The sequence below is a fragment of the Homo sapiens genome, chromosome 9 (assembly GCF_000001405.40).
Source record: "Homo sapiens chromosome 9, GRCh38.p14 Primary Assembly".
NCBI classification, from domain to species: domain Eukaryota; kingdom Metazoa; phylum Chordata; class Mammalia; order Primates; family Hominidae; genus Homo; species Homo sapiens.
In genome coordinates, this window is record NC_000009.12 from 87,645,486 (window position 1) to 87,664,252 (window position 18,767).

The 18,767-nt window shown below is 46.7% G+C and overlaps 1 protein-coding gene across 9 annotated transcripts in view; it reads left to right on the plus strand.

Annotated features, from left to right (window-relative positions):
- Positions 1-18,767, plus strand: part of DAPK1 (death associated protein kinase 1) — a 211,407-nt gene that overhangs the window by 148,258 nt on the left and 44,382 nt on the right. For 7 of the 9 annotated variants that reach the window (NM_001288731.2, XM_047422887.1, XM_047422886.1 and 4 more), the window contains exons 12-18: positions 410-529; positions 976-1,074; positions 1,820-1,918; positions 3,296-3,394; positions 4,436-4,633; positions 6,042-6,239; positions 12,544-12,642. In NM_001288731.2, the coding sequence (NP_001275660.1) occupies positions 410-529; positions 976-1,074; positions 1,820-1,918; positions 3,296-3,394; positions 4,436-4,633; positions 6,042-6,239; positions 12,544-12,642 (912 nt within the window). Of the gene's footprint in view, positions 1-409; positions 530-975; positions 1,075-1,819; positions 1,919-2,285; positions 3,088-3,295; positions 3,395-4,435; positions 4,634-6,041; positions 6,240-12,543; positions 12,643-18,767 lie in introns of those variants that run through there. The other 2 variants (XM_017014360.2, XM_047422888.1) reach the window with 2 other exon arrangements.

The window sequence follows — 18,767 nt, forward strand, 5'->3', positions numbered from 1 at the left end:
TTCTTTGCTGCAATAGGCTTTTCTTTTTCCTTATCCAGGAAGAGAGTCTGTGTTATACCTAAAAATTTTCACAGTGGTTTTAGGAACTATGTTTTGACAGATTCTTAAGATAAACACAAAGGGTTACTTATCATCATTATTTGAAATCTGGATCTTGGACATTGTGTCTCTGGGCTATACTGCAGGTGATATTAAAGCCCAGATAAAGAGTAGATAGTGCTTGTTTGCAACATGGAAGGGGCAAAAATTCCTTCCTAGGTCCCTCCATGACTGTATGGATTTGGGGAGTAAATGGCTTACTTTCCTCTGAATGCCCCTGTTAACAAGTGAGCACAGGTTTCTTTTATGTTGGTAAGAAAAGCATGGCTAGCAATGTAACTCTGTTTCCATCTTGGCTGTCTCTCTCAAGGATGAGGAAGACTCCTTTGTGATGAAAGCCATCATCCATGCCATCAACGATGACAATGTCCCAGGCCTGCAGCACCTTCTGGGCTCATTATCCAACTATGATGTTAACCAACCCAACAAGGTCTGGTTCTGTTCTGCCGCATACTGGAGGGGTGGGTCACAGCGACCTTGCCCTTCCATATCCAAGGAAAGACCCCATCTGCTTCTCCATTCTCCCTTCCAATTGGAAGCTCCATACTGTGGGGAAAATCACTTCTGTTTAGAAAGTGATTTGAGTTACAAATAAGGTCTTTGTGCATTGAGGGCCTTCCTTCATTCACGTATTGTATCTCTACCCATGAAATTTTAGATCTTCTCATCCTGCTAATGAAAATGTCCCTGATGATGAGAATCCAAAAGGGGAAGGAAAGGTTTTATACCCTTCCACCTGTCTTCTCTTCCTGCCACGCAGTGGTAGCTCTATGTCTGTTGAGACAGGGGAAGGTGTGTGGTAACAGCAATCATCGTTTGGGCTTTTCCTTTCCTACCAAACCTGAAAATTAGTAATTTTTTTCTTGCCTATTCTAGCACGGGACACCTCCATTACTCATTGCTGCTGGCTGTGGGAATATTCAAATACTACAGTTGCTCATTAAAAGAGGCTCGAGAATCGATGTCCAGGATAAGGTCATAATTGTTTTATTGAAATGAATTGAATTTTAAAGTATTTTCAAGTGTCTCTTAATCATAGGGGTAACAGAGGAAAAAAATTTATGTCCTAACTTGTTTCTCAGTTTCCTGTAAAGGAAGATGAGCTGCTTTTAAACAGCTTGGTACAGCCTGACACATGGGTTAAAGAGGCAAACATTTATCATTTATCCTCCCCTTGGCGCTGCTGCTTGACATCAGCATTTCTTTGTACACTACCCAGATTTTACTTCTTACCGATCACATTTACTCAACAATGTTAGATGTCACACATGAAAAAGTTTTGTTATCTAATTATTCTCATCAGAAATTTGTTTGCCTGCTTCTGCAGACGTCAGCAGAGCTGTAAGTGGAGTAGATCTGGCCCTCTGCAGTAAGGGAATCCTAACCAGAGAGGGGAGATGAGGGTTTACAAACATAAAATAATTGTTTATAAGCAATTGTTTATTTTGAAATCATTTTTGATTTACAAAAAAAAGTTGGAAAAGTGGTACAGAGAGTTCCATCATTCGCTTCACCCAGGTGCCCCTAATGCTAGCATCTTGTGTAACCACGGTACATTTGTCAAAGGTGTAAAATAGAATGAGGGTTTTATTCCTCTGGGAAGTTGCTCCTCTGGGGTTTGTCATCACACAGGAAGGGAAATAACAGTGAGTCTGAGGAATGCATGCATCTGGTGCTGTCAGCTCCCTAGAAATGTGACCCCAGGTTGATTTTCCTGCAGGGCGGGTCCAATGCCGTCTACTGGGCTGCTCGGCATGGCCACGTCGATACCTTGAAATTTCTCAGTGAGAACAAATGCCCTTTGGATGTGAAAGACAAGGTAAGGCCACTTCTCTTAGGAGGAACATGAGGTGGTAGTAAATGGATGCATGTGAGTGTGAGTGCTGGCCTACCGTGTGCATCGGGACCCAAAGGAAAGGAATCAGGACCAGAATTCACCTGCAGAACATTTAAGTTGGAAATGTCTTGTTGCCTGTGGTTTGGTCTAATACTGAAATCAGCCTTAAGTCAAAATCTTTCAGGTAGTTGCCATAATACGCACGCATTGAATTATAATCCCCATAACATAAAAACCTCAAAGTTCTAGTACAGACAACCAGAGAGAGACCTCGGTCTCGATTCGATTTTCTTCCTGACTCAACCTTGTGCTTTTAAGCGGATCTCTCCTATTCTCTTCTTCTTTGAAGTGGCTGACAGTGCTGACCTGACAATCACAGACACTAGAAGATATTAATGAGACAATGCACATAAAGTAATAAAGTAAGGCTTTTTTTTGGCACAACGGTGTTATAAAAGTTACTGATTTATCAAGATACCTTGTTTTCATATGTGTGTGTTTCATTCAGTTCACACAACAATCCTGTGAATTAATTGGCTGTGCTGGAACCTGAACCTGGAATTCCTACCTACTCATCCATTATTTATTCTACTGTACAATACTTCTCTGCTTCCAGTACTGGCAGACTAATTTGACGTTTAGTCAAGCTGCCACATGCAGTTGCATGGGTTGTGCACTGCACCATATCTGAGGGGTAACATTCATATCAGAGACACGCATTTATTATGGCAGTTTTCTGGAAGGTGGCAACACTATATCTTGTTTTGTCTTCTTAAAATTTGTTTATTCTGATGATTTTCTGTGGGGTGGATAGAAGTAAAGTATCTTAAAGGATTTGCACTTGTTACTAATTCACAGAAAGTTATTGCATGGGCAAATAGTGACATTCTTTAAAATTTCTGAGAAAATCTCTGAGAATATAAGAAAATAAGTTTCTAATCATAGGCAATGAAATGAGAAGCTTATTAATAAATAAAATTGTTCATTTAAGTAACTGCTGAATGATGAACCCAATAGTAAAAAGAGAGTGTTGTGTTTAAAGAGAAAATCACACAGCTAGAAGTATCAGCACATAAAGAAGACTGAGAACAGCTATCATGGAAAAGGGAGAGCCTTCTCCTGAGTTGTTTGCACTTCACAGGATGAGCCAAGTATGTGGGCTTAATACTCACTGTGTGGTGGACACCCCAACCTCAGGTCCCCATCCTAGCCACTATAGGGGCATCTGCCCAAGGTGGGTGGGTGGAACCAAAGGGGACAGAGTGGAACCAGGCAGGCCTGGGTGTAGGCCTTGGGTTCTGGTCTCCATAGCCTGCTCACAGATGTGGCTCTGAATCACCGGCTCCTTTTCTTCTGCAGTCTGGAGAGATGGCCCTCCACGTGGCAGCTCGCTATGGCCATGCTGACGTGGCTCAGTTACTGTGCAGCTTCGGCTCAAATCCCAATATCCAGGACAAGGTGGGTCGTGACTGACATCCTCCCTTCCTCTGCTCTATACATGAATGTACAGGCAGCCAGATGGTACAGTCGGGGCCTTTAGAGTTTTATCCAAGCTAGGCTTTCTGTCTTCCCCTACAGAGGGCAAGGCTCAAGGGGCAGGGACTCAAACAGAAGTACTAGCTAAGGTGTGCAAGGTGCTAATGCCAGGATCAGGTCTAACCACTTGATTCATTCATGCATTCAATCTGCTGAACAGCCCTATGAGGTGGATTACTGTTATCATTCTCATTTTAGAGATGAGGAAATTGAGACAGGGAAAGTTTCTGTAACTTTCCCAGGCTCACAAAGCTCAGAAGTGGTAGAGCTGGGGCTTGAACACACACAGTCTGGTTTCAGAGTCCACCTTTGTAACCACCGCCGCACTAGGATGGCCTCTCATCGGTGCATATATGTATCTAGCGATGTTGATCCTGAAGATACAGGCCTCACGGTCTATAAGGACTTCCCTTGACTTGTTCAAGTGTGGCTCTCCTAATTACCTTCTTGCCAAAGCAACAATACTGTTACCACTCACCTTGTGTTGTAAACATGACAGAAAGCTAGAGGCATTAAGGTTGCTGGAAGAATTCATGCTCAGGGAAGTGGTTACCTACTGTTAGTAGTTTCAGATAAAGTCAGCGAGGCACTTATTAGAAAGATGCTGCAATGCACCTGCACGAAGGCTCTATTGTTCAGACAAGCAGGGCCGATGGTTTCAACGGGCTCCCGAAAGTCAATTGTCAGTCATATGCTTGAGAAAGCCAAATTCATCAAACACACAAGTGTTGAGGAAGGAAAACTAATGAAAGAGAGACATCAGATCTACCTCTTAATGCTGGTGGCTCACACTCATGTTGTTATTTTATTCCAGATTAATATTTCACTCCAATACCTATGAGCTCTTTCCCTCTGCTGCCTTGGTTGCGTTTCTGCCAAATTTGACAGGGACTCTCACCTTGCTTTATACTTTGTTTCTCATTATTGTGTTCTCCTCCTCTCTGTACTCGTCTCCTTGGCCAGGAAGAAGAAACCCCCCTGCACTGTGCTGCTTGGCACGGCTATTACTCTGTGGCCAAAGCCCTTTGTGAAGCCGGCTGTAACGTGAACATCAAGAACCGAGAAGGAGAGACGCCCCTCCTGACAGCCTCTGCCAGGGGCTACCACGACATCGTGGAGTGTCTGGCCGAACATGGAGCCGACCTTAATGCTTGCGACAAGGTGCCTTATGGGGGAAGACTCATATGCACTGGGAAGTGATCTAGGGGTCTAGAGGGACCACAAGACTCCTCAGTTTGTTTCCCTAAGATAACAAACTTGAATGCAGCAAACTGTAATTACCCCGTCTCTTCTCTGTTCCAAAGATTCTGTGAACTTTTCTATATTGTATTTAATAGTTAATATTAATTTATGGCATATAACAAAATTCATGAGTTGATCAATTGACTTTGGTCTCTAAATAATTTTTAGCTTTTTTAGCTTTAGAGCAGGTACAGTGATGTTCACTGAATCCGAGACAATTCTCATTGAGGACTGACATTGGCAACACGCTATTAATTTTTAGATAAACAAAGAAATAGATGTTTTACTTATTTCTATCATCCGCTGTGTTGTAAAAAGACAATAAACCACTCTTGTCTGGCAATCTCGATGCTAGACCAGGTTTAATTAAACAAATTCAGCCTCATCTGTTTTTATTGTGATCTGTACTTAAAACAAGCCTGTGATGTTGCTATATACGGTTAGATTTGGGATTCTGTAGTTAATTTAATATCTGCCCTTTGTGAAGTTATTTTCTTTGTATAGAGCAATGGTTCTGGGTCGGGGGCGACTTTGCCCCCAGGGGTGTTTGATAATGTCTGGGGATACTTTCTGGTTGTCACAGCTAGAGATGGGGGTTGCTACTGGCATCTCGTCGATCCCAGCCAGTGGTGCTACTAAACATCCTGCAGCTCACAGAGCAGCCCCCTCGACAGAGAATCACCCAGCTCCAAATGCCAATAGCGCTGAGGCTGAGAAACCCTAGCACAGTAGGTTTTAGAAATGTTTCAGAACTCTCCACCCAGCTCCTAAAACTCAACACATCTATTCATTAGGGATTCTGTAATAGGTAGAATGAATGCCCGGGCTGGTTTTTCATGGGATGCAGAGGTTACACATGTTAAATCTGCTTCTCATTTATATGACAGCCCTTGAGCAAGTTATTTCACAATACTTTCACATTTTTCCTGGTGCAAGGTAAAATAATAGGCTCTCTATTTAGGAAATTGGCAGAGATTGCTGGGCAAATGTTTTTAAAAGTGTTTTACAAATGCTTTGATTAAAGAGGCCATTGGAGTATCAACAATTACTTATGTTCTATCTGATTGTACTGCTGAAGCCTAAATGAATCAAGCTAGTGTTCAGCTTAGGCTGTGATTATTTAGAGAGGAATATGTAAAGCTCCGCATCCTCCCAGTCCTTACCCCTGCTATAGGAGTAAAGTTTCTTCATTTAAATCCTCCACTAGGGCTTTTAGTAGTGATCTTGTTGCCAATTAAACCTCACTCGATGGCGGCAGAAAAGGTGAAGAGACGGAGGCCACATGCCCAAGTGAAAAGCTCTCATGATCTCTGGGGTTTGTTTCCAGGACGGACACATTGCCCTTCATCTGGCTGTAAGACGGTGTCAGATGGAGGTAATCAAGACTCTCCTCAGCCAAGGGTGTTTCGTCGATTATCAAGACAGGCACGGCAATACTCCCCTCCATGTGGCATGTAAAGATGGCAACATGCCTATCGTGGTGGCCCTCTGTGAAGCAAACTGCAATTTGGACATCTCCAACAAGGTATGCACAGAGAACAGGATCCCTACAGCTTCCAACTGTGTCCATCCACCCGATTCTGGGTCCTGATTCTGTGTCCTCTCACCTGATCCCAGGTCCTGATTCTGTGTCCTCCCACCTGATCCCGGGTCCTGATTCTGTGTCCTCCCACCTGATCCCGGGTCCTGATTCTGTGTCCTCTCACCTGATCCCGGGTCCTGATTCTGTGTCCTCCCACCTGATCCCGGGTCCTGATTCTGTGTCCTCCCACCTGATCCCGGGTCCTGATTCTGTGTCCTCCCACCTGATCCCGGGTCCTGATTCTGTGTCCTCCCACCTGATCCCGGGTCCTGATTCTGTGTTCTCTCACCTGAACCCGGGTCCTGATTCTGTGTCCATCCCCCCGATCCTGGGTCCTGATTCTGTGTCCATTCCCCCGATCCTGGGTCCTGATTCTGTGTCCTCCCACCTGATCCCAGGTCCTGATTCTGTGTCCATCCCCCCGATCCCGGGTCCTGATTCTGTGTCCTCCCACCTGATCCCAGGTCCTGATTCTGTGTCCATCCCCCCGATCCCGGGTCCTGATTCTGTGTCCTCCCACCTGATCCCAGGTCCTGATTCTGTGTCCTCCCACCTGATCCCGGGTCCTGATTCTGTGTCCTCCCACCTGATCCCGGGTCCTGATTCTGTGTCCTCCCACCTGATCCCGGGTCCTGATTCTGTGTCCTCCCACCTGATCCCGGGTCCTGATTCTGTGTCCTCCCACCTGATCCCGGGTCCTGATTCTGTGTCCTCCCACCTGATACCAGGTCCTGATTCTGTGTCCATGCCCCCGATCCTGGGTCCTGATTCTGTGTCCTCTCACCTGATCCCGGGTCCTGATTCTGTGTTCTCTCACCTGATCCCAGGTCCTGATTCTGTGTCCTCCCACCTGATACCAGGTCCTGATTCTGTGTCCATGCCCCCGATCCTGGGTCCTGATTCTGTGTCCTCTCACCTGATCCCAGGTCCTGATTCTGTGTCCTCCCACCTGATCCCGGGTCCTGATTCTGTGTCCTCCCACCTGATCCCGGGTCCTGATTCTGTGTCCTCCCACCTGATCCCAGGTCCTGATTCTGTGTCCATCCCCCTGATCCCAGGTCCTGATTCTGTGTCCATCCCCCCGATCCCGGGTCCTGATTCTGTGTGCTCCCACCTGATCCCGGGTCCTGATTCTGTGTTCTCTCACCTGAACCCGGGTCCTGATTCTGTGTCCTCCCACCTGATCCCAGGTCCTGATTCTGTGTCCATCCCCCCGATCCCGGGTCCTGATTCTGTGTCCTCTCACCTGATCCCAGGTCCTGATTCTGTGTCCTCCCACCTGATCCCAGGTCCTGATTCTGTGTCCATCCCCCCGATCCCGGGTCCTGATTCTGTGTTCTCTCACCTGATCCCAGGTCCTGATTCTGTGTCCATCCCCCCGATCCTGGGTCCTGATTCTGTGTCCATCCCCCCGATCCCGGGTCCTGATTCTGTGTTCTGTCACCTGAACCCGGGTCCTGATTCTGTGTCCATCCCCCCAATCCTGGGTCCTGATTCTGTGTGCTCCCACCTGATCCTGGATTTTGGCCAAGTTTCTATTTGCATGTGTTTGTTGTTGAAAGTGAATATTACTTATATGGACATGTACTTTTTTATAGCGTTTTGCCATCTTAAGTTGCATTTTACATGTGACTTTTGAATAATTTCATAGATAAACAGAAAATTATTATAATAAGTACTTTTTGCATAACTCAGTGTACACTGATGGAAATCCCGTGTGTGTGTATGTATGTGTGTGTGTGTGTACATGCATGTGAGCATGAGGCTCTGTAGAGGAATCAGAGAAGCATGGTAAAATTGTAACATCTTTCTAGAGCACTAAGTCTTCAGGAAAATGTCTAGTGACATTAAGATTTGATCCCAGGACTGTATTTCTCTTTTTTATTTTATTTATTTATTTTATTTATTATCATTATTATTATTTTTTTTGAGACAGAGTCTCACTCTTGTCACCTGGGCTGGAGTGCAGTGGCCCAATCTTGGCTCGCTGCAACCTCTGCCTCCTGGGCTCAAGCGATTCTCATGCCTCAGCCTCCTGAGTAGCTGGGATTACAGGCTCATGCCACCATGCCCTGCTAATTTTTGTATTTTTAGTAGAGACAGGGTTTCACCATGTTGGCCAGGCTGGTCTCGAACTCCTGACCTCAAGTGATCTGCCCGCTTCAGCCCCCCAATGTGCTGGGTTTACAGGCATGAGCCATCACACCTGGCCCTATATTTTTCTGCTTAGCTTTCCGCATTGAGAGTTTTATGGGCAAAAGTTCCTACTACCGTTTTTTGTGCTAAATAAATGTGGTAAGACTAAAGAGATGCTATCATTTGGTGAAAAATGGAGAAATGAAAATAACTGTGCTTTTAGGTTCATAAAAAATGTTGACTTCTAGATTTTAGCCAGCACCTTCCCTTTTCTCTGAATTCCATATAGATGTTCATTACCAAACAACACAGACTATTGCAGATTCCTGTGATTTTGGCCCTGTAGCTGTATTAAAGACAAGCATTATGCCATTACGATTATGCTAAAAATGAAGTCCAAGCACAATTAATTTTTTAATTTCAGGAAATGTTTATCAATGGCATATACAATGCCAGTAGGATTCTAGTATGGTTTGTTGGAGGTAAAAGGATATCTGAAACAGCTGGAAAGTTATACTTTTATGTACACTTATTCCTTTTGCATGTTATGTGATTAACTCAAGCAGAAATTGAAATTGGTAATTTCACATTCTGAGACTGTGTGGAAGGGCAGTATCCCAGGTTTTAGCCATTAGCTGCTGGTTGCTTTCTTAGTTTGTCCCGTTTTAATCTTGCCAAGTCAGTTGTGTAAGTGGCTTAAGGGGAAAGCCAAGTGTAATATGAAGTAGCATCAAGACCTTGGGTTTCCATCTAGGATTCTTTAAATGAATCAAAAGCAGCTTCAAGGGACATCTGCACTTATTTGACTCTCTGTAGACATTCCCACTGTGCACCCAGGGGTCTACTATGTGTGCAGCATCTAGAATCAGCTCTCCCCTTGTGAGAGGAGAGAGGAGGAGCTGAGCATCTCATGGTGCTTTGCCCTAACCTCAACAGGGAATGTGTTCTTCCCAGTTTCACTCCATACCTAAATGTACAACTTCACTTGTTAAATACACTCTTCAAAAAATCCACAAGACAGTCCCAGACTTTCATGTTTTGAAACCACTGGCTTATTTACTGGAAAAGTCTCACATTTTTCAGGCTGCAAATATCTATAAGTAAAGTCGATAAATGCTGACATAAACTTGTGTAATCACTGTCTGTGGCAGAGCAGCTGTACATAGAGGGCCTTCTGTAGATGATTTTGTCATTGAATGAAGCTCAGCTGATGTGAAAATCATCAGTTCCAGTTTCAACCCCTTGGAATTAGCAGCAAAATTCAGACCCGTAATTCAGAGCCCATCTGGACAGAAGTGTGCTGGTTCCACACAAGCTCTGCATCTCTGCCCCCGCAGACAGGCTCCCCAGGTTGGCTTTGATGCTCCCATCATCAGCACACCCTGACTTTGGGGATCTCACAGCTTCTTCAGAAGGGTTGCTGTCAGGCTTGTTTTGCTATTTTTTTTTTTAAAGGAAAGGTGATGGGGGCTTTAGAAGGGCTTAAAAGAAGCACAGGTACGTAACAGAAGGCATCGCTTCCTACCAAAGCACATCCAGCTTTCTAGAGACTCACTCAAGTAACTGATTGTGAGCGTGGGGTGGCATCCACATTCTACAAGGAGGCTGTTGCTCTTTCTCCATTGCGTGGTCTTGCCTTTTCCTTATCTGAATTAAGTTCCTCCAGAAATAAAAATGGCCATTCAAATCCTACCCTGTCACCAGTATGTGACAGGACCTCATGGCTATGTTTGACGCTAATGCAGTGAAACAGACATTTCTGCATTCTTCCTCCTTCTCATATGGAAATCAGGAGAGTGGCCGTTTAACTTGCCGTGTTAGAAAGCACGGAAAGGAAAGGGAATAGATGGCGCAGAATGCATGGCCCTTACCCATTTGTCCCTCTTTAAGTCGGTGCTTCCCATAAGGACAGACAGAAGGCACGCTGTGCACACGCACACATCTGGGAGGATGAGAGAGGACTCCCTGCCTGTCAGGTGTTTATCGAGGCCCTTCCAGGGCAGCACTGTGCCCAGCGCAGAGGGAGGAACTCGTAGATGCCAAGGTGAATGGCTTTGCCCTCAGGCTACTTTTAGACACACTCAAATTCAGATGTAGCAGCATCTCATGTTGTCATTGCTGCTGTGATGGGCATAAGGTGCTCCAGAAACACAGAAGCAACAATTCAGATATTAAAGAAATCAGGGAAGGCTTTTCAGAGTTGATCACTTAAGATGATCGAGGCTTTGACAGATGGAGAAGAGGGAAGCCTGTTTTCCACCAAGGGAAGCCAGTGTGTCTGCCGTGGGCTGTCGCTGACACACGGCGGGTGTTGGGTAGGTATTTAGGGAGGGGGTTATGGGGAAGGGAGAAAATGAAGCTGGAGACGTTGGGTCCAGGTGTGGCAGACCTGGAATTTAAGGCTAAGGGGTTTGGTGTCATTCTGTCCCAACCTGGGCCCTTCAACAGTGGCCGTTTCCTCTGCCCTTTTCTTCATCACACTCTCTTCCTCAGCTTTCTTCCCTTCTAGAAAACTGTGCATTCTACAACCAAAATTACATCTCCCTTACATTGCATCTTCTAAACATTTCACCCAGTCTTCAAAACTTTCCCTTTTCCTTCTCACGTGAACTCTAGGATGCTTGAAAGCTTAATATCTGTTTTCTGCATTACTGCAGAAGATAATAATAAAGAAATATGAATGTATCCCACACTGCAGCAGTGTTTACACTAGCCGGGAATTGGAGCTGCCTAGCCTCCCGCCTCAGTGGCTGAATGAATCATGAGAGCCACACAGTGGACGCGATTCAGGCATTCACGAGAATGTGATCCCTCCCGTTACAGGCATGGAAAAGTGTTCCCAATCTACTGTTAGGTGGACAAAGCAAGGGACAGAGTGGGAGGTGGGCTATGACCACATCTCGGCTGTTTAAATTATTTCTCTCCTGTTGAGGATTCATAGATAAGAGCTTGGGAGGAAATGGACAAAAATGTTAAACAGGGACAGCTCTGAGCTAGGGAGCTTGAGAGTAAGGGGGGAGGGGAGAAGGAAGATTTTTATTTTGTATTATGTTTTTCTAGGTTGCTTGGATTTTTAAAAAGAGCATGTGTTAACTTTATAACAAAAACTGATATTTAAAAATACATAGCATTAAAAAAAATTCCCAAACTTTCTCAGTTCACAACATCCTCAGGGTTTCAGTAATTAGTTTTTTCATGGTTCCCCTAGATCAAAAGAAATCCCTAACAGTTCTGTTCATTGAGTGGTTCAGTCCAAACAACTTAGTAACCGCTTATGTCCTAACAGCTTAGCAGCAGCTAAGAAAGATAATACACATAAACGGAAAGAAAACTAATATTTTCTTTTCCTTCTTCCATGACCACATTACGTACAATCTGATGAGTGCTCCCGTTGGGCACTGCACTTCTGAAACCTTGGACTCAGAGTGGACACGGCCTCATTTCCTGTCCACAGTGATTTCCTCAAGACTCTTGGTTCCTCTCAGGGCAGCTACCAACCCCCCGCTGTGAGAGACATGATGTCATGGAAGGCAGGGTGGTGCAGTCTAATGATGACACTCTGCACCTCTTCAAGCGAGTAGTTCACCTGGTCTCAGAACCATGTTTCTTATCAAAAACTTTAGATATTCCTGGGCACCCCTATGAATTCAGTACAGTTCCCTGGGTTACCTTGGCACACAATTTGGGAACCATAGGCACAAACAAGGCTTATGGGCTTGTCCTGGTATTTTCACTAATTAGGATGTCTTCAATATCTGTCTTCCATGTCTTCTTCCCTGGCTGTGTCTAAATTTGAACTATGGTGCAGATCTTGCTGGAACTCTGGACCTTGAGCCCTTGACTCCTGTCTCTTTCAGGCCAGCACAGCAGGAAACTTACTTAAGTTATCTTTGAAGTTGTATTTTGAAGCTCCTCTTTTAATTGCAAAGTACTTGGAAAGGTTCTGCCTGGCTGGCCTGCCCCAGTGGAGAGCAAGTTTCAGGAGAAGGGAGATGGCTCCTTCCTCCTTTCTGGTGGGCCCTGACCCCTTCCTTAACCTTGTGTCTCCGGAATGTCATCCTCAGCAACTGCGTGAGAAGAACGACCTTTGGCCTTTTTTCTCTCTTCCCAGTATGGGCGAACGCCTCTGCACCTTGCGGCCAACAACGGAATCCTAGACGTGGTCCGGTATCTCTGTCTGATGGGAGCCAGCGTTGAGGCGCTGACCACGGTGAGTGCCCACAGGGCTTCGTGAAGGAGGGAGCTGCTGGGAGCCTCTGGCGCCTCCAGGGCAGGAGGGACAGGGCTTGTATGGCAACTCTGCATTCTGAAGCAGCCAGGCTGCTGTTCAGCCATAGCTCCTCCACTGCGGTAACATAGACATTCGCCTACACATGCCCAGCCTAATGTCTCCTTAATGTTCGTCCTCTTCTCATCTCACCACACCCTGCTCTGCCAGGGATTCCGCTGCTTCCCGCTGGCCTTTTTGTTTTTCATGTCACACACCAGGGCCCCTGCATGGTGGGGTGTGTGTACTTCCCCTTCCTAAATGCTCCTCTGCCCCAGGGTGCTGGAGCCCCTGCCCTTTAGAAGGAGCTGGGGGAGGAAGAATCCTCAGTGGGTGTTGGGTGCAGTCTCCACATTTACCCCACAAGACCAGGCTGCCAGGTGCCGTAAGCAGGAGTTGCTTAAAGAGTCAGGCATTGCTTTAGGCCTGTGGAGTATTTTAAGTGAGATTTCTTCAGTTCTCTCACTCCCTGCTCCCGATGCCAGACCTAGCACCTCCCTGCTGAGGAAACCCTTTGATTCACATTTCATGAAATACCCAAGAAGGAAAATGCATCAGCTAATGAGGTATGGTTGCAATTTTATGGCTGCAGTGAAATAATATCATTCGAGTGTTTGCTGGCCTGAGAGTAGGCTGACTGTCCAGTCTTTGTGGGACAGTCCTGGACTCACAGATGAGAGCTTTACTGACAGAGGGTGATTCTCTGAGGAGACCAAGAGGGCCTCATTTCCTGGAGATCATCCAGAGGTTAGCAAACCATGGCCCACGGGCCATATCCCGCTGCTGGTCTTTGTAAATGAAGTCTTATTGGGACACAGCCATGCCCAAGGTTTGTATTGGCCCTGGCGGCTTCCACGCCAGGTGTCAGAGCTGAGCAGCTGTGACAGAGACCATATGGGCCACAGAGCCGAAACACCTACTTGCCTGGCCCTTGACGGAAAATGTTTGCTGACCGCTGGGGCTAGGATGTCGCCTCCCCGAATGCACTCATGTTACTGGGATGTCATTCCCTCCCCAGAAGTAATAGGTCTGATCTGTGCAGTGGGGGGCCCAGCTCTGTGCTTTCTCTGCAGGCCCAGTTATTACCAGTACTCCGCATGGGGTGAGGCCCCTTTCTAGGGCACCTGGTCACCCACCGCAAACGCACACACCATACCCACATCACCCTGCTGTGCCTGACTTGCTAGATCTTGTTGGCCATTGTCAAGCCCTGCCCAGCCATGCTTGGGCACAGGTTCCAGTTACTCCCTAATAGAGCATTTATATGCATTTTCAAGACGAAGAAATATTTTTGTCCTATGTGTGGCCTCATGAAAGACCCAGCCAGGCCATTATTGAAGATGCCAGCAGCTGACGCTGCTGATTCCCGCAGTGCGGGTTGGGGCTGCTGAAATGTGCGGCCCCCTCTGTAGGGTCCCTCCGTGAGCCGCGGGCCCCTCTGCCCTTGCCCACGACATCTGTATCAGTGGTCCCCGCCTGGCTCCTCCTCAGGTCCCTCCGTGCACCTCCTTGCTCTCCCGCTTGCCACCGCAGGAAAAGCGTCTTCTGTCCCCAGGCCCCTCCCACGGTGCCCAGAGCTAACCTCAGAGCCGCACCCGCAGCGCTCATTCTGCAGCCCCCTCAGTCACTCTGCACACACCGCACCCGCAGTCACTCCGCACACACCGGGGGCACAGTGAGAGCGGGGAGTCCAGAGGGACAAGACAGGCACGCGCCCCTCAGGAGACTTCTGGAAATGGGAGAGGGATGCTGACCTGAGAGTCATAGCCGTCAATTACAGTCACTGAATGGGACCGCGTGGTGACAGGAAGGAGTGGGTCCTGAGGGCGTGGACAGGGGCTGGGGGCGCCCCTGCGGGAGGCATTGCTGGAACCTGCAGGCCAGGCCCCGTCCTCAGCCGGACAGAGTCCCGGGAGGATCTCCCTGCCCTGTTCAGGACCGGAGCTCAGCGGCCTCCAGTGCCCTCCTGCGGTGGGAGCACAATGTCTGGAGCTGGCGTGGAGGCCCAGGAGATGGGAGGGTGAGCAGAGCTTGGTGGGCCCGGCCTTCCCCGCAGGGAACCGGGGCTTCCTCTCCCGTGGGCAGCCAGGGGAGGGTTCCGCAGGGCCGGGGAGACCCTCCAGACTGGAGGGCATTACTGGGGGCGTCGCCCTCAGAAACGTGACCACACCACATCCCTCGGTTTAAGTTTCCTAGCAGCCACATGGAAGAAGGAAAAAGAAACAGGAAATGAATTTCAATAATATATTAGCACAAGATATGCAAATATTATCATACCTGTCAATAAATTTATTGATTGATTTATTATTTGTATATATTCATAGGGTACAAGTGCAATTTTCTCCACTGGTATATTACACTGGGGTGAAGTCAGGGTCTTCAGTGTGTCCATCACTGGAGCAAAGCACATTGTACCCATCAAACAAACTCCCATCCTCCACGCGCTTCCCTCCCCTTCACCCCTCCAAGTCCCCGTTGTCCATCATTCCACACTCTTCTTCCCTGTGTACACATCATTTAGTGCCCACTTTAAGTGACAGCATGTGATATTTGGTTTTCTGTGTCTCAGTTGTTTCACTTAGCATAACGGCCTCCATTTCCATCCATGTTGCTACAAAGGACATGATTTCCTTCTCTTTTTTCTTTATTTTTTATTTTTTTGTTTTTGTTTCTGTTTTTTGAGACAGAGTCTCGCTCTTCGCCAGGCTGGAATGCAGTGAGGCAATCTCGGCTCACTGCAACCTCTGCCTCCCAGGTTCAAGTGATTCTCCTGCCTCAGCCTCCCAAGTAGCTGGGACTACAGGTGCAAGCCACCATGCCCATTTTTGTATTTTTAGTAGAGACGGGGTTTCACCATGTTGGCCAGGATGGTCTGGATCTCCTGACCTTGTGATCTGCCCACCTTGGCCTCCCAAAGTGCTGGGATTACAGGCGTGAGCCACCACGCCCAGGCTGATTTCCTTTTCTTAATGGCCAAGTAGTATTCCATTGTGTATATATACCACAATTTTTAAGTCCAGTCCTCTGTCGGTGGACACTTAGTTTGATTCCCTACCTTTGCTACTGTGAGTAGTCCTGCAGTGAACATACAAGTGCAGGTATGTTTTTGACATAATGATTTATTTTCCTTCAGGTAGATACCCAGTAGTAGGGTTGCTGGAATGAATGGGAGTTCTATTTTTAGTCATTTGAGAAGTTGCTGTGCGTAATTTCTCTATGTTTTCCATAGAGGTTGTACTAATTTACATACCCACCAACAATGTATAAAAGTTCCCCTTTCTCTGCATCCTCTCCAACATCTGTTATTTTTTGACTTTTTAATAATGGCCATTCTGATTGGTGTTAAGGTGATACTCATTGTGGTTTTAACTTGCATGTCTCTGATGATTGGTGATGTTGAACATGCTTTTCATGTTTGTGGGCTTTCTGTCTTCTTTTGAAAAATGTCTCTTCATGTCCTTAGCCCACTTTTAAGTGGGATTATTTTGGGGTTTTTGTTGTTCTTGTTGAGTTGTTTGAGTTCCTGGTACATTCTGGATGTTAGTTCCCTGTCGAATGTAGAGTTTGCGAATATTTTCTCTCATTCTGCAAGTTGTCTGTTCACTCTGTTGATTATTTCTTTTGCTGTGCAGAAGCTTTTAGTTTAAGTCCTGTTCGTCTATTTTTAGTTATGTTCCGTATGCTTTTGAGGTCTTAGTCATGAATTATTTGCCTAGACCCATGTTTAGAAAGTTTTCCCTGAGTTTTCCTTCAGTATTTTTATAATTTAAGATCTTCCATTTAAGTCTTTAATCTATCTTGAGTTGACTTCTGCAAATGGTGAGAGAGAAGGATACAGTTTCATTTTTCTGCAAATAGATATCCAACTTTCCCAACACTCTTTATTGAAAAGGGTGTCCTTTTTCCAGTGTATGTTCTTATCAGTTTTGTCAGAGAACAGTTGGCTGTAAGCATGTGGCTATATGTTTCTGGGTTCCCTATTCTGTTCTATTCCATTATCTGTTTTTATGTGGGTACCATGCTGTTTTGGTTGCTATAGCCATCTAGTGTAATTTGAAATTAGGCAATATGATGTCTCCAGCTTTGCTCTTTTTGCTTAGGATTGCTTTGGCTATTTAGGACCTTTTGTGGTTTCATATGAACTTTAGAGTTGTTATTTCTAATTCTGTGAAAAATGAGGTGAGTATTTTGATGGAGATTGCATTGAATCTGTAGATTGTTTCAGGCAGTATGGTCATTTTAACAATATTAATTCTTCCCATCCGTGAGCACAGGATGTTTTTCCATTTGTTTGTGTCATCTATAATTTGTTTCATTAGTGTTTTTTAGTTTGCCTTGTAGAGATCTTTCACCTCCTTGGTTAAATATATTCCTAGTTTTTTTTTTTTTTTTTTTTTTTTTGGTAGCTATTGTAAATGGGATTGCCTTCCTGATTTGGGGCTGGATCGTCATTGGTATATAGGAACTCTAATGATTTCTGTATGTTAATTTTGTATTCTGAAATTTTACTGAATTAATTTATTAACTCAGAATTTTTTGGTGACATCCTCAGGGTTTTCTAGATATAAAATCATATCATCAGTGAACAGGGATAATTTGACTTCCTCTTTTCCAATTTGGATGCCTCTATTCCTCTTGCCTAGTTGATCTGGCGAGGACTTCCAGTATTCTTAAATTATTGAGATTTTTCACATTCTTTGGTTTATACAAAGCTTTCCTTCTGTGCCCTCACAGCGCATCCTTACTCCCCAGGTTTCAAGCTGAGTCAAGGCCTAGGGAGGGGCCTCTGGTCTTCCTGGAAGGCCCAGCACCTACGCCTTCCTCCTACCCTCCAGAAGCAATTCCATCCTCCTCTCCTTCAGAACCACCCTTGACCACCAGCGCCCCCTGCTGCCACCTTCCCTCTCCGCTGAGTCCTCAGCCAGGGGGACCTGAACAAGTCTGCACGTCCTGTCCCCACTTTGTCCTTGCCTCCCCTACTCCTGCACCCTCCACTGTCTTGCCTTCCGTTCCACGTAACCCTCAGCAGAGTCCCCACTCACCTCCTGACAGCTTTCCTTCTAAACTGTCTTACTATAAAAGAAAGCATAGATAGAAAAAAGCACATAAACCAATATAAAGCTTAGTGGGTTTCCATAAGACAAACACCTTTGAATTCCACGCAGGTCAAGAATAGAACTTTCCCAGCCACCCCAAAGGCCCCATGAACCTGGCCCAGCTGTTGCCTCCGCTCCCGCCCACTGTGAGCCCCTCCCTGATTTGAAGCCAGCTCTTCCTTTTGCTTCCTTGTTATCTTTCCACCCAAGCCCCAGCTGCTGCCCCTAAGCCTCTTTCACTGGATATCCCCAGGACTGGGCACCCTTGGCACGCCCTGACAATCCTGCCTGGGCTGAGAAAGTCCCCGCGTCCTGCTTCTCCCTAGGCCTCTGCTTCCTGCTGGTCCATCTTCTCCCTCTCCATCCCCCTGGCCCTCTCTGGCCCCCAGACTTGCAGCTGTCCAACACTGAGGCCCATGCTCAGGTCTCTGGTCCCTGCTTGCCCCTGAGTGCCAGCCTCACACAGCACCTTCAGAGGCCCTCGGCCCCCCCACACCAGGGTCCCTCCCTCCAGTTCTGTGCTTCCTCCTCCCCAGTGTTCAGCCTCTGCAAAGGGCTTCCGCATCTGTCTGTCACTCTGCCCAGGATCATGGAAACCCTTCTTACTCTCTCCTCACCTATTTGCATCTAGCCGGCAGCCTACTAAGTCTCCTCCCACTTCTCCATGACCACGAAGCACCCGCCTCTCCAGCCCCCACCTGGTTAAGGGCGTCACCCTTAACCTTAGTCTCCTCCAGACCAGTCGGACTCTTCACCCACCCCTGCACTGTAGCCTCCTGCCCCTTGGGACCAGTCCATCCCAGCCCCACGTTTATCTTTCTAGAAATGCCAGCCACTCAGTGGGCTCCACTTTCACCTCCACCTGGGGCTCCTCTGCCTTCAGGATGTGAACTCTGCAGCCTCTGCCCAGCCTCCCCTTCCCCTCTTCTCCCCTTCAGTTGTGGCTGGGTCCTGGGAAGCCCCTGCCGGCTC